The following is a 15307-nucleotide window of genomic DNA, read 5'->3' as shown; positions in this document are numbered from 1 at the left end:
GGCGTGTGGGCGGGGCGACGGCGCAGAGCGGGAGGAAGACTCACGCCTGGCAGGCGGCGTGTGGGCGGGGCGATGATGCAGGGCGGGGCGATGATGCAGGGCGGGGCGAGGACAGACGCGAAGCTGACGGCGTGTGGGCGGGGCCACGGCGCGGGGCGGGACGAAGACGGGGTGCAAGGCGGGCGGGGCAACGACGGCGGAGGGGCGAAGGCCCGAGGGGGGCGGTAGGTGGGCGGGGCGAGGACAGACGCGAAGCTGACGGCGTGTGGACGGGGCGACGGCGAGGGACGGGGCAAAGACTGGACGCAAGAAGGGGCGGGGCGACAACGGCGGAGGGGCGAAGGCGCGAGGCGAACGGCGAGTGGGCGGGGTGAAGACCGACGCGAAGCGGGCGGTGGTTGGGCGGGGCGAAGACTGACGCGAGGCGGGCGGTGAATGGGCGGGGCGAAGACTGGCGCGAGGTGGGCGGTGGGTGGGCAGGGCGAAGACTGAAGCGAGAAGGGCAGCGCGAGGTGGGCGACTACCAGAGCGAAGCGAGCGGCGTGTAAGCGGGGTGAAGACAACGCCAGGTGGGCAGTGTGCGGGCGGGGGGGGCGGCAACGGGGGCGGGGCGAAGGACGACGCGAGGCGGGGCCGGCGGGAGCTGGGCGTGGGGAGGCCGCGTGGGCTGCGCGGAGGGTGTGCCACTCGGGGAAGCGTGGGAACCGCCTGGTTGCCTGGCGCTGCGTAGCTAGGAACACGTTTTGTTTAAATACTGGGAACTGACGTAGGCGGGTGCGCCGCACAAAGCAACGAAGGCATCGAAGCCTGGAGACCTGGGCAGGGCCGCTGTCGGCGGGAGGCTGCGAGGGGTCCGTCTGTTTCCGCCACTGGGCCCTCCAGGGCTTTGCTGCTGCGCCGCCTTCTCCCCGGGCACCTAGAGAAAGTCCCCAGATTGGGCGTCCTCCCCAGAAGTGGTCTCGCCCCGCCCGCCTCCCCAGAGTCAGCGTGGCCCAGCGGGGAAGCTGCTCCCCCCGGGCGTGGAAAGAGAAGTGAGCGCGACCGCAGTGTTGGGGATGCGTGGGCTGTGACTCCCCCGAGGCGGCTGCTGTGGTGTGAGACACGTCTGTGTGTGTGTGTGTGTGTGGGCGCGTGTGGATGTGTACATGTGTATGTGTGCATATGTACGTGTGTGTGCATGTGTGTGGACATGTATATGTGTGCATGTGCGTGCGCGTATATATGTGTGTGTGTATGCGTATGTATGTGTGTATATATTGTCAATCGAAGAAAACGACGAGACAAGTCTCTAATCATTTTAGGAGATTTATTTGCCAAAGTTAAGGACGCACCCAGGAGACAGGTCTACGCCTTTCTCCAAAAATGATTTTGAGGGCCCCAGATTTAAAGGGGAAAGGGCGGAGTATTGAGAAGCAGAGTTTTCACAAACAAACGGGCAGAGGAAAAACGTGGGGAATCTGCATTTTACATAAGATAACGCAGACAAAATGTGGTAGGGGAACAATCAGATGGGCTAGGGTGACTGCACCTGTAAAGATAAGCTATCAATTTGCATTGCCATGGTTAAGTTTTATTTTTTTGAAATGGAATCTCTCTCTGCCGCCCAGGCTGGAGGGCACTGGCGTGATCCCGGCTCACTGCAACCTCCACCTTCCAGGTTCAAACAATTCTCCCGCCTCAGCCTCTCGTGTAGCTGGGATTACAGCTGTGTGCCACCACACCCAGCTACTTTTTGTATTTTTAATAGAGACGGTGTTTCCCCATGTTGGCCAAGCTGGTCTCAAACTCCTGACCTCAAGTGATCCGCCCAACTCGGCCTTCCAAAGTGCTGGGATTACAGGCGTGAGCCACCGCGCCTGGCCACCATGGTGAAATTTCAACAGCTCACCAGGAATCTCCTTGTGGGCAAAATATGGGGGAGGCGTGTAGCCTTTCATCTTGTAGCCATCTTATTTAGGAACCAAAAGGGGGAGACAGGTTTGCGTGACCCAGTTCCCAGCTTGACTCTTCCCTTTGGCTAAGTGAATTTGGCGTCCCAAAATTTAATTTCCTTTCACATTTCCCCCCTTTTTTTTCTTTAAAATCTTTTGGAGAAAAGCATTTTAAAAAGGAATGTGGGTTCCTGGCCTCAGGTTGCTGCTTCCTCCTTTCTTCCCACCTGCTGGTTTGTTGTTGCTGGGATGGTTTATTCCTAGAAGTTCAAGTCCTCCGTCACGAGGAATGCTCATTCCTAGGAGATCATGTCCCACGAAGATAAAAAATAGGGAGGAAAGGAAAAAAGAGGAAAAAAAGAAAAATGTATAGGGACCTAGGCCAGACTTATAGCAACAAAAGGAGGGCAAAACTGGAAGCTAGGTCAGGCTACATTACTGCCTCCTGAATTAGAGCAATTCTCTGAGCAGTCATTACCCTAGCCCTTTCAGTTACACATGGACTTATTTGCAAACATATACCACAACAACATTATAAGCAAAAACAGGACAGATCAGAAATTGTTCTTATTATAAGCACTAGCTTGTGCCACCAAGTTCCCCAGAATCCAAACCAGCTGCTCAACCAATCAGTGAGGGTTTTGGGTCTGACAGGTTGATTATCTGGGTTTTCATATCAGTCATAAGCCGGGTTATGTTCTTCATTTTCTGGAATATACACACAACATTCAGTTGTTCTGGTGCAAGTGCCCCCTTGTGCTGCCGTTAGTGTATCTAAAGCCATATGATTTTGCAGCACTGCTTTCCTCATAAGCATGACCCCGTCGTTTGGCAAAGAGGTAACTCATGTAGCCATCATTCAGGGCCTTTTGGGTGTAATTTGTTAAGGCTTCTATATCCCATATAGCATCTTCAATAGCTATCTGTGGTACAAAGATTGAAGTTAAATGATCATACCATTGGAATACTGAACGTGTCCAACGAGATTGTAAATGAAAAAGGTTTGCTGTTTTTGGCAGGGTCTGAATTACTCGTCCTTGTGCCCAAGCATAACCTGGGGAGCATCATCCCAACCACCCTGGAGGTGACCACAGCCATAAGTTAGTGCCACATAGCCAATATGTCCCACTTGGAGCTAGCCAATAAATAGTTGGTCACTGCACCCAGTCAGTGGCATGCCAGTCAGTGTCTCATAATACAATAATGTGGTCACAACATTCTCCAGGTGTCCACCCCATATATCTTCCTACTGTTTGGCCACAGGTCCTGGGTGTGATTTCTTTGCTCCCAGCACAAAGGAACATTTTGACTGAGTTGGCCAAACGAAGGGGTGAACCAGATAAATCCATCCCAAGTTTGCATTATTCCATTGTGAAAACGGGCCATTGTTTGGGGCATGGTCACCACTTTGTTTTAGTTGGGGGAAATGCTGAAGTGAGAGCTAATGAGCTGGTCCTTTCCACTGAAAAACTTTTCCCATGTCCTTTGTTCTTAAGAGTGTTTTTATTTGTTCATTTATTTTGACATGGAATCTCACTCCATCGCCCAGGCTGGAGTGCAGTGGCGTGTTCTCAGCTCACTGCAACCTCCAACTCCCGGGTTCAAGCAATTCTCCTGCCTCAGCCTGCCAAGTAGCTGGGATTACAGGCATGCACCACCACACCTGGCTAATTTTTGCATTTTTAGTAGAGACAGGGTTTCACCATGTTGACCAGGCCTGGTCTGAAACTCCTGATCTCAAATGATCCACCCACCTCGGCCTCCTAAAGTGCTAGGATTACAGGCGTGAGCCACTGCGCCTGGCCAAGAGTGTTTTTAATGGGCCAACTATATATATTGTCTTTTGTTATGCCAGCATGAAGGATACCAAACTGTTTCTGTGATGTAATAAATTTTTGGTATTCTATCCAGTCCTGACCTTGGAAGGAGGATACCCACCACTGGAGGCTGGAGCCACTGGAAAGAGGCGTAAGTCCGCATATCAAGCAGGTGTTCTTATGTAATTTGTCTGCATAATCCTGAGCCCATTGTAGAAACAGGTTTGTTTCATGGGCATCAGTGGGTGGCAGTGGCAAGAAGGTGAAGGGATACATGATTAATAATAGCAAGGTTGTGAAATTCATCTTAGTTACTAAAGGGTGTTAAATCAGACAAGGCAAGTGCCCTGTTCTTTATTAGACAGCAGATGACAGTATATCTAGGACAATAATTGTAATGGTTATTGTGCAGTAAACATAGGCATTTCTTTGTGTACAGGCCTGGTCCTGTGTCTTGGGTTTAAGCAGTCCACAACAGCTGTTGTCTGCTTCTAATCCTGGGTTGAAGGTCAATGTTTAGTGAACTGGAGGCAAAGGTCTTTGGTGGGAGTTACAATCCACTCAGGAGGTTGTGCCTTAAGATGAGAGAGATGAATCCATGAGTCTACACCTTCTAATTTTATGGGACATAGATTAGTCAATAGTACCTGGTGTGGGCCCTTCCATTGGGGTTGAAGGGAATTCTTTATTAGATGTCTTTTCCAATAGACAAAATCTCTGGGTTGCAGATTGTGACCAGGCACCTTATCTTCATGGAGCACACTATGAAAGGAATTCTTTATCAAATCTTGGCTTTTTTTTAAGGCGATAAGTCCCTCACAATGTTGCAATATATCTCCCTTGAGAAAAGTTGGGTTGATTATGTTTGTTCCCATACACATGGGCCTCTGTTATTATTTCTTGAGGACACAGTTGTTTTCCAAAAGGGGTGGATTGGAGTTTAAGCAGCACTAGGGGGAGTGCTTTGGGCTAGGGGAGGTGAAATGCCTGGAGGTGAATTTAGCCAGTTGTGCCTCTCCACTAGGCCTGAGGATTGGGGATGGTAGGCACAATGGAAATGTGAAAATATGAGCCAAGTTTTACAAATATTTTGAATAACCTGGCCAGTAAAGTGAGTTCCCCTGTCGCTGTGACGTTCACCTGGGACTCACCACAGTGGGATAATTTTTTCTAGTAGGATTTTTCCAACTGCCATGGCTGTGGCTTGCCTGCAGGGAAAGCTTTAACCCAATGAGAAAACATGCAGAGCATTAGTAAAACATACTTGTAATCTTGAGATGATAGCAGCTGAATAAAATCAAGCTGCCATACCTCAAAAGGTCCAGCTGGAAGGGGAAAGTGACCCTGGGCGACTTTCCTTTATATTAGGGACAAATAACACATCAAGAGTAAATATTTTGTGCCACTGTGAAGGATGGTTTCCAGTAATATTGTTTATGCTGGGATATCATTTTATCTGGGTTACAATGGGTTAGATTATGGACATATTCCATAAGGGGCACCTGACATCCCACTGGAATAATGGTTATTAGGTCCACACTGTATTTCAGTTTCGGGAGAAAAGTGTCTCCCTGACTGTTTCCAGGTAGATTTCTCTTTTGCAGGAGCTCTGCTCTGGGTTTCTTTCAACATGTTTCTAAGTGTTTCGGGTTTTATGGCCGTTTGGTCCTGGATTGGGGCTGGTGGCTCGGGTGCTGCTCTTTTAGCAGTGGCATCAGCCAATTGGTTACCCTTTCTGTGGTGTCTAATTTTGAGTGACTGGGATTTTTATAATTGCCAAACATTTGGGTTTTAGAATAGCTTCTAACAGCTCTGATACATGTTGTACATTTTTTATGGGTTGCCCTGAGGAGGCTAAATATCCTCCGTCTTTCCATAGCATCCCAAAGTCATGCAAACCCTAGAAGCATAGCAGCTGTCAGTGTAAATGTTTGCAGCCTTGTATTTTGCCAATTGACAACCACGGGTCAGGGCAATCAACTCGGCCACTTGAGATGATCTGGCTTCCAGAAGAGGACCGGCTTTAATTACCTCTGATAAGGAAACTATAGCATATCCTGCTCCAAAATTTCCATCTCTCCTCTTAAATAAGACCCATCTGTATACCATTCTATTTTAGCATGATCCAGTGGCATCTCTTGTAGGTCTGTCCTGGAGGTGAGAAGTCAGTCAGTCATCAGAACACAGTCATGAGGGGTCTTGTCAGAAGGGCCTGACAAGAGAGTGGCCAGATTAAGATTATTATACTGGAAGTAGTAATATTGGAAGATGGTACAAGCAAAATTTGATAAGAGGCTGACCGGTTGACAGACACACGTTGAGTATGATGAGAGTTTAGAAGGGTCTCAGGAGAATGTGGCACAGAAATGGTAAGGGGGGAACCCATACTTATTTCTTCAACAGACTTGTACAGAAGGGCCATGGTTGCTACTGCTCTCACACAAGGAGGCAGCCCTCAAGCCACCGGGTCCAGGTGTTGGCTAAAATAGCCTATAGGCCTCTGATGATCACCATGTTTCTGGATCAGTACCCTGGATGCAGTACCTCCAGTTTTGTGTGTGAAAAGGGAGAAAGGCAGTTTGTAGTTTGGGTGCCCTAAGGCTGGGGCATTAGTTAGAATTTCCTTTATTTGTTGTATAGCTGATTGTCCCTCAAGAGTCCACAAGATGGGATCAGTTTGTTCATTTTTTAAGTATGCCTACAGAGTTTGAGTCATAAAGAAGAATTTGGTATCCAGTTTCTACAATAGCCAGCCAGGACCCAAAATCCTCTAAGTTGTTTATTAGTCACAGGCATTGGGAAAGCTAAAATTCCTCTCACTCTGTCAGGGTTAATACTCAGTCCTTTGACTGAGATAATATGCCTCCAAATGCTTAACTTGCAGCAAGCATGGCTGAAGTTTGTCTTTGGACACTTTGTGTCCTTTGGTGGCTGTTTGAGTAAATATAGACCATCTTCCTGGGAGGAAGATAGTGTGCCTGAACAAAGGAGAAGGTCACCTACATACTGAATGAGTGTTGAGCCCTGGGGAAAAATTAAATCCTCTAAATCAGCTTTTAATATTTGGGAAAAGTAAGTGGGACTTTGTGTATACCCTTGAGGCATTACCGTCCACATATATTGCCCTTCTTTCCAAGTAAAGGTAAACAAATACCAGCTGTCTGGATCTACAGGAATACTAAAGAAGGCACTGCAGAGATCTGCAACTGAGAAATACTGGCTGATAGTGGGTGTAGCTGATAGGATATGTGGTTTGGGACTATTGGGTGTCTGGGTATTGCGATATTATTTATTGCCCTCAAGTCCTGTACAAATCTCCATCCCCTCCTGCTTGTTTTTTTGTTTTTGTTTTTGTTTTACAGGGAATATGGGGCTGTTGCAGGGGCTTGTGCAGGGAATAGTGAGTCCCCTTTTCAGGTAATCTTCTATGATAGGGGCGATTCCATCTATGGCTTCCTCTACAATATCGGAGACAAAACTGTTTAAGGTTGAGTAGGGGTTTCTTAGGGTTTATCTCTACCTTTATGGGAATGGCTGAGAATATTTTCCCTATATCTGTATTTGACTGAGACCGTAAGTGGAACGGACATCCTTGAGCAAGCGTTCTGCTTCTGGTGTAAACAGGAAAATTGGGGAAGCTAAGAGGAGTTTTATCATTTCCTATTCTTTATTCCAATGTCTTCTCTTCTCCCCTAATATTTCCTCCTCTCTCTCCAATTCATTTTCCTGGTCACAAGATTATGTTTTAACATTACTGGTACTAAATTGTGGTACATTGTCAGGACATTATTTTAATTTGGTATTTTTGGTCCTCTGGTTCCAATTCTTAAAAAAGTTCACCTTTTGATGAAAAAGATATGTCGGCATTATGGATGTTGAGGAGATCATGGCCCAAAAGATTGACAAGGGCCGCAAGGCATATAAGAGACATGTGGGACCTGCTGAGCACGTCACACTTAGAGTCTGTGGTGGGGGAGCTGAACCCAATGAAACGGGAAAGTAAAGGTTTGTACTTAAAACGTAAGATTGTTTTATTAGACATACCCACCATGTTAACTTTTTTATTACTCCGAGGAATGGGGTTTCTAAATAAGCTGGGATTTGTCAGAGATACAGTCATGCCTGTGTCAATAAAGGCAGTTGTCAGCTCATGGTTATTATATTAATCTCCCTCAGTTTTTTTTGTCAGGGTAGAATATTTGGAGACGTGAAACTCCTGTACTTTCTCGGAGCACCCCTAGTCTTCCTGAGTTGCATTTTCCTGCCTTTTCTTTCATTTCAGCCTAAGGCAATCCCTTTTAAGGGGTCCCGGACTTTTACAGCAGCAACAGACTGGGAGGGAAGGGTTCTCAGACCTAGAGAACTTAAAAACCTGTCTGGGGCTGATAGGTTTTGAAGTTAATTGCTTTAGCTGTACATGCATAACTCCAGCAATCTTCTGTTTTTCCTTTTTTATCGTAGCGTGGGATAATCGGTCAGCTAAGTTAACCAGTTCATTAGTTCTGGCTATGGCCCAGTTTATCATGTGGCATTTTACAAGTGTGGCTAAATCATCATCTAGTCCGTTTAATAAATTTGCCTTTAATAATGTATCATTTTTATTTTCAAAGCAATCAGCTGTCATCTCACAATATTGTCTAAAAGTTATATCAAGATGTGTGAAATAATCTAAAACTAATGCATTTGGGTTCTGGCAGCATTGCTGGATTTTTCTCCAATCCACAGCCCTTTGGAGCACTGGAGGAATAGTATTTAACAGTCATTGCTTGCTCCTGTGCATCTTTACACCTGTCTTCTGGATTTGGGGGGTGCTGGTTGTTGTGGCTCTACTGGGCCTTCAGGGGTCAAATCTGTTATAGGGTCTGACCATTGTGCTTTTTCTAGCTGTTCTTTAGCTTTAGCTTCTGAGACCAACATGTGGACCAGCTGATAAAGGTCTGAATGACCTGGGTCATAGGTTCTGATACTGAGCTCAAATTCTTGGGCAAACCTGATTGGATCTTTATGGGGGCCAGGAAATTCTTTAACTATGACTCACAATTCAGCCTTTGACCAAGGTTGGTAGACAATCGCTGGGGCTCCGCTACCTGTTACCAGTTGTTCCCAAAATGGGGTGGTCATAAGAGAAATCTCCATAGGATTCCCCTTTTCTACATCTTCCAGATGAGACGCTGCCATTGGGGCTGTCGGGGAATCAGCAGCAGCTGGGGTCTTTGAAGTCCGATTCCTGCCTGCCTTTTGTTGAGCGAGTGTTAAACATGAAGGAGAAAAGTGGGACAGATCTGGTCTGGGGAAGTTCAGAGAGGTCAGGGTACAGTGGGAGTGTAGGTGGAGTTACCAAGTGGGAATAAGGGATTTCAAGGATTTCTTTAAGAGACGTAAAAGATTAGAGAGTTCTTGATTAGCATTTCTAAGTTGCTGGTTTGCCTCCTATAGGGAGATGAGGCAGTCTTCACCCCTTTTGCTACTCTCCAGGTACCACTGAAAATAACTCTCCCATTCTGGTTGCTTATTTGTTGTGCCTGCATTTTTTATCCTGGTTCTCAGGTACACTAATTCGGGCATCTCAAAAGATCCCCATTTAGGTCATTGTAACTTAGAATCTGCTTTAGTTATAGTGGTCCACTTGTTTAAATATTTGCATGATGATTTGTGATTTGCCATAAGTACTTTGCATATAGCCAGCCAGAGTTTCTAAAGGGGAATTTTGTGTTCTGCAGCTGCTGGGGTCTTAGAGGACTTGTTCCTCATAATTTAGAGCTCCTTTTCAGATTTGATGAAGTCGGGACATATGTCGGACCCAAAATGTGCTGCTTGCAGACCTGGCTTTTCAGGGCCGTTACCTCCTGAACCGGTTTGGTCTACCTGTGTCACGGCTACCTGGCACAAGTGTGTCAGGGGCTCAAGTTGCAGGACGGGTCGGTTCCTTATATGCACCTGCCGGCTGAGATGAGACCCTAAATATGTTCTTCTGAAAGAGGAAACCTATTTGGAGCTGCTGCACGTCTTAGGGAGCGTTTCTCCCAGACACCCTCAGGTGATTCTCAGTTGCCTGAGAATGCCCCGGAAGGCTGAGGGAAGCAAGGTGCTCTATTTCTCCAGCATGGAAGATTCCACAGTCATGAGCTAGAGGGTTCAGAGTTGGTCACATCTGATTGGGGAAAGGACTGAAACATATACACATACACACACACACAAAGCAGAGACAAGCAACAAAAACAGTTAAGCAAAACTAACAATGATCACACAAAATATACGATTTCTAAGCACTCCAAGTGTAAGCAGGAAGTTAGCACCAGCTGGTTGTTAGTGCTAATTTTAGTCATTTAAAGAATTTGCAAGACAGAATTCCAAACCAGTTTCTTACCTAGTGATAGGGCCCAAGCTGGAGACTGCTCTCTGCCAATGCAAAAACAGACAAACTCACCTTCCATGATGGAAGCCAGTGGAAAAACTCCCACAAAAAGGGAGTTTTTTTTTTTTTAAACAGTGAATAAACCTCAGACCCCCCCAGCTGAGAAACATTGGAAGATCAGGGATCCCTGGAGGAAGAGGTCCCAGACTTCGGCAAATTGTCCTGTTGGTTTGGGCTACAAGGTGCCCGAGCCAGTACCAAGCACTGAAAGGCAAACTGCCCCAGGCCAGGCTACTTTCACTCAGGATCCCTTCGTGGTTACCGGATGTCAATCGAAGAAAGTGACAAGACAAATCTCAATCATTTTAGAAAATTTATTTGCCAAAGTTAAGGACGTGCCCAGGAGACAGGCCTATGCTTTTCTTCAGAGATGACTTTGAGGGCTTCAAATTTAAAGGGGAAAGGGTGGGATATTGAGAAGCACAGAATACTGAGATCTTGCTGGGTAAAGTTAGTCAGTGTCTTAGTAATCAGGAATGTAATTCAAAAAGTTATTGTTTTTGTAACTTCCTAGAAGCAGGGAATTCAATATTTTAGTCTAAATTTTTACCTAGTAAGGTCCCTTCTATCCCTCAATAATAAATATTCATGGTAACATATGGGAGGATATTTCACCCTCAGTGAATATCCTCCTCTCCATTTGGTTCTTTTTTCTTTCATATAAAAGTTCAGCATTGTTCAATAAATTTAAGCAGTTCCTTTATAAGACAAGTTAATTTTCTTATGCTGGTTGCATGGGGGTGGGGGGCATGCTATGGGGACATCCTATCAAACCCCAAACCTCTCTAACTTTTGCCTGGAAAGAATTTGGAGTCAGAGTTTTTACGTAACGTTTGCAACCCTACGGCGCCACCTAGTGGAATAGGATTTTTCTCCATGGGAAGCCCTGTCAGCCCTCTTCCCCAAACTTCTAGTTTCCTAATTCTTTTTCCTTTTATGTCCCTCTATCAGTGATCAGGCAACATGTCCTATTTGTAAACAAAAAAACTCCACTTTCAACAGCCAGGAGGAAGCTATCCTAATAAAACAGGTCTTAGCTTCAATACTGTCCCCATCAAAGGAAGGGCAGCCATTCAATTCTTATGTTCTTTTAAGGCACCTGTTCTGCATTCAATGACAATGGGATTTAAAGAAAAAAAAGAATTTTGTGTTTGAAAGTTAATCAGTCCCATTCTGTGGGATTCCAATTTTTCACTGGGGCCATAGCAGGGGAAGCCAAATATGGTATTAAAACACCCTCCATTAAAGAGTCTTGCCCAAGTCCAACTACTACATAATCTCTCCCAGGCCTATTGGGTACCTTGGGAGCCTTTAGGCTGAGTGGGTCTAAGAATCCAACAGGGTGGAAAGCTAGGGTCTTGCACAGGTAAGTGTGACTAGTCCTGCATACTACCTCCTCTGGATCCATGAGTAAAGGTCACACTTGTATCCATGGGGTGGCACCTATAATGGTTGCCAGGACCCAGAGAAGAGAAGGAAAGAGGAGAAGGGCAAAAGGGCAACACCTTTTCTCTCTTTCCTTCCACCCTTGGTCACGCCAAAGCAAGGAAGGGGACTAAGGAACACCTTGTCTCCCACTCTCTAGATGGGTAACAAACCATCTGCATTCTGTACTTCCCTTGAGTGCATTCTAAATCACTGGAACTCCTTTAACCCTACGACTCTAAAGAGAAAGTGGCGTATATTCTATTACACAAGGGCGTGGCCTTATTACCATCTTGGGAACAAACAAACCTGGCCTGAGGAAAGTCTTGATTTCTATACTATTCAACAACTAAAACTTTTCTGTAGGCAAAAGGGCAAATAGTCCAAGGTTCCCAGTGTACAGGTTTTCTTTGCCTTGCAAGATAACCTAAATCTTTGTAAGCATTGTACAGTTAACCCCACCCTTTTGGCAGCCACGTCAGGCAAGCCTGCAAAGGATGGTTCCCCAGAGTCAAGAAAAAAACCCTTGGGGAACCCTCGAAAAAAACTTCCGGGTGTCCTACCTGCCCCACAATAGCCAGATCATTAGCTCCTCTGGTAGTGCCCCTCAAGAAATTCCCAACTTCACTGTTGCCCCTGCAGGAAATGCCCAATGGTGCTACTAGGGCTCAAGTTTCCTGCTCATTGCAGGACCTTAAACAAATAAAGGGGGACCTGGGCAGGTTCTCTAATAACCCTAATAAATATATAGAGGCTTTCCAAAATTTAATCCAAGTGTTTAATCTAACTTAAAAGATGCTATGCTACTTCTAAGCCAAACCCTATTGCAAAAAAAAAAGGTATTCTAGCCCATATGGGAGCCACCATCCTTATGGCTCCAGAACAAACTCTTTGTCCTCCCCTTATTAAAAACCAATGTTAACCCAGAGGTGTGGACAAGTCACGGGAAAATTGGCCAGGCTACAACTGTTATACTGGTCCAAATTCACCTTAAAAATTCCACCTTCTTCCGTAACCAAAAGCAGTACCCGCTAAAGCCAAAAGCTGAAAAACAGAACAAAAACCTAAAAGCCATTATGAATAAATTAAAAGCACAAAACCTTCTCAAGCATTGCAACACCCCAATATTAGGGGTACAGAAACCCAGTGGGAAATGCAGGCTAGTTCAGAACCTCCATCTTGTTAATAAAGCTATAGTTCCAATCCATCCAGTGGTTCCTAATCCGTATACTTTGCTAACTCAAATACCTGAGGGAACTAAATGATTCAGTTTTAAACCTAACAAGTGCCTTTTTCTGCATACCATTGCACCCTAACTCCCAATACTTGTTTGCTTTAAGAAAGTCCCTCCAACCAGCCAGGGGCAGTGGCTCATGCCTGTAATCCCAGCACTTTGGGAGGCCGAGGGGGGCAGATCACGAGGTCAGGAGATCAAGACCATCCTGGCTAACACAGTGAAACCCCGTCTCCACTAAAAAATACAAAAAATTAGCCAGGCATGGTGGCGGGTGCCCATAGTCCCAGCTACTCGGGAGGCTGAGGCAGGAGAATGGCATGAACCTGGGAGGTGGAGCTTGCAGTGAGCTGAGATCATGGCACTGTAGTCCAGCCTGGGCAACAGAGCAAGACTCCATCTCAAAAAAAAAAAAGATCCCTCCAACCAGGCTAACTAGTTAACCTGTACAGTGCTGCCTCAGGGAGTCCAAAACAGTGCCCACCTGTTTGGGCAAGCATTATCAAAAAATCTCTCTGAGTTTTCTCATCCTCAGGTTAAAGTTTTACAATATGTATATAATATTATCCTCTGTGCCCCAACTGAGGGGGTTTCTCAAGAAGGCACTAACGCTCTTTATTTTCTAGCAGGTAGAGGATATAAAGTTTCCAAATCTAATGCTCAGCTCTGTCAAACTTCAGTGAGGTACCTTGGTCTAGTCTTGTCAGAAAGAACCAAAACATTAGGTGAGAAGATAATTAAGACTATTTCCCCATTTCTCCTCCCTGGAACACTCAAACAGCTAAGAGGATTTTTGGGCATTACAGGTTTTTGTAAATTGTAAATACCTGGGTACAGTAAAATGGCTTGCCCTTTATACTGCCTTATAAAATAAACTCAATCAGCTATAAACTCACTCCCTAACTTAAAAACCTGAGGCTCAGAAGGCCTTTAATCAGCTAAAGCCTGACTTAAAGCACCTACGCTCAGTCTTCCCATAGGGAAGGCGTTTAATCTTTATGTCTCAAAAAGAAAGGGAATAGCCTTGGGAGTTTTAACTTAGGCTCAAGGTCCACCCCAGCAGCCATTTGGTTACCTAAGCAAAAAGCTTAACTTGGTGGCTAAAAAATGGCCAGCTTGCCTCTGAGCAGTTGCAGTTGCATGGTTGAGTTAGCCATGAGGAATAAGTTAACTGTTTACACACCCCATAATGTAGCAGCACTGCTATCCTCTAAAGGAAGTCTGTGGCTAACAGGTAATCACCTCCTCAAATATCAAGCTTTGCTGCTGGAAAAACCTGCAGTTCAGTTAAAGACCTGTCCTGGCCTGAACCCAGCCACTTTCCTCCCAGAGGAAACTGGAGAACCTGAACAGGAGTGTAAACAAATGGTGGTGCAAATCTATGCAGCCAAAAAAACCTCAAGGAAATAGGAGGAGGAAGTCACATCTTACGTGGATGGTGGTGGGCAAAGAGAGAGCCTGTGCTGGCAAACTCCCGTTTTTAAAGCCATCAGATTTCCTGAGACTCATTCACTATCATGAGAACAGTGCAGGAAAGACCCGCCCCCACAATTCAATCACCTTTCACCGGGTTCCTCCCACAACACAAGGGAATTGTGGGAGTTACAATTCAAGATGAGATTTGGGTGGGGACACAGCCAAACCATATCACTATCTTGGGGTTCCCTCTGCTGGCTTTACCTTTAACCATTAAAAATGGATATAAATAAAGCATGGTATGGGAGCATTTTTAACGCTACGCAAAAAAACACACACCCTGAGGGTAAGACTTACTCCTTTAGACTAGGTAAAGTTAATAAGATAGCAAATGCCTTCTTCTGCTTTAAAAGCAGAGGAAAAGAACCATACTTGGGAAACCTTTAAATATTCCAAAAGTATGCTCATAATTGCTAAGAGTACAGAGATCTGGAGACTAAGAAGGAACAAGGGTGACACCAAACTGGGAGAGACTATAGAAAAATTTTAATCTAGCCAGACCTCCTAGGTGGAATTCCCAATGGGAATAGCTATCCCTGGGCAGAAATGCCACCCCTTGCCAACCTTATTATCAGGTAATAAATAACACATGGTCCTTGATATGGTTTGGCTGTGTCCCCACCAAAATCTCAACTTGAATTTTATCTCCCAGAATTCCCATGTGTTGTGGGAGGGACCCAGGGGGAGGTACTTGAATCATGGGAACCAGTCTTTCCTGTGCTGTTCTCATGATAAATTCTCTTGAGACCTGATGGGTTTATCAGGGGTTTTTGCTTTTGCTTCTTCCTCATTTTCTCTTGCTGCCACCATGTAAGAAGTGCCTTTCACCTCCCACCATGATTTTGAGACCTCCCCAGCCATTTGGAAATAAGTCCAATTAAACCTTTTCTTGTTCCTAGTTTCAGGTATGTCTTTATCAGCAGCATGAAAACAAACTAATGCAGTACATTGGTACCAGTAGAGTCGGGTGTTGCTGAGAAGATATCCGAAAATGCAGAAGTGACTTTGG

The 15307-nt window shown here is 45.6% G+C and overlaps 1 protein-coding gene across 2 annotated transcripts in view, besides 5 other annotated features; it reads left to right on the top strand.

Moving 5' to 3' along the window:
* Window positions 51-130: a silencer, noted in NCBI's record as "silent region_9589". NCBI's record gives its function as "represses an Ori minimal core promoter by ATAC-STARR-seq in GM12878 lymphoblastoid cells {active_cell/tissue: GM12878}" and the evidence as "EXISTENCE:reporter gene assay evidence [ECO:0000049][PMID:35858748]".
* Window positions 141-460: a silencer, noted in NCBI's record as "silent region_9588". NCBI's record gives its function as "represses an Ori minimal core promoter by ATAC-STARR-seq in GM12878 lymphoblastoid cells {active_cell/tissue: GM12878}" and the evidence as "EXISTENCE:reporter gene assay evidence [ECO:0000049][PMID:35858748]".
* Window positions 141-499: a biological region, named in NCBI's record as "ReSE screen-validated silencer GRCh37_chr18:77793921-77794077".
* Window positions 343-499: a silencer, noted in NCBI's record as "fragment chr18:77793921-77794077 (GRCh37/hg19 assembly coordinates)". NCBI's record gives its function as "represses an EF-1alpha promoter that drives an FKBP-Casp9 reporter gene in an ReSE screen in HepG2 liver carcinoma cells {active_cell/tissue: HepG2}" and the evidence as "EXISTENCE:reporter gene assay evidence [ECO:0000049][PMID:32094911]".
* TXNL4A (thioredoxin like 4A) overlaps window positions 484-15307 on the top strand; it is a 63124-nt gene continuing 48300 nt past the window's right edge. The window contains exons 1-2 of one of the 2 annotated variants that reach the window (NM_001305563.2): window positions 484-569; window positions 3843-3899. The gene's annotated coding sequence lies outside the window, so the exon portion shown is untranslated. The remainder of the gene's footprint in view (window positions 570-3842; window positions 3900-15307) is intronic. The other variant, NM_001305564.2, reaches the window with a different exon arrangement.
* Window positions 531-700: a silencer, noted in NCBI's record as "silent region_9587". NCBI's record gives its function as "represses an Ori minimal core promoter by ATAC-STARR-seq in GM12878 lymphoblastoid cells {active_cell/tissue: GM12878}" and the evidence as "EXISTENCE:reporter gene assay evidence [ECO:0000049][PMID:35858748]".

The sequence above is a fragment of the Homo sapiens genome, chromosome 18 (genome assembly GCF_000001405.40).
Source record: "Homo sapiens chromosome 18, GRCh38.p14 Primary Assembly".
NCBI lineage: Eukaryota > Metazoa > Chordata > Mammalia > Primates > Hominidae > Homo > Homo sapiens.
The sequence above is the reverse complement of the archived record's forward strand: the minus strand, read 5'-3'. Positions and strand labels throughout refer to the sequence as shown.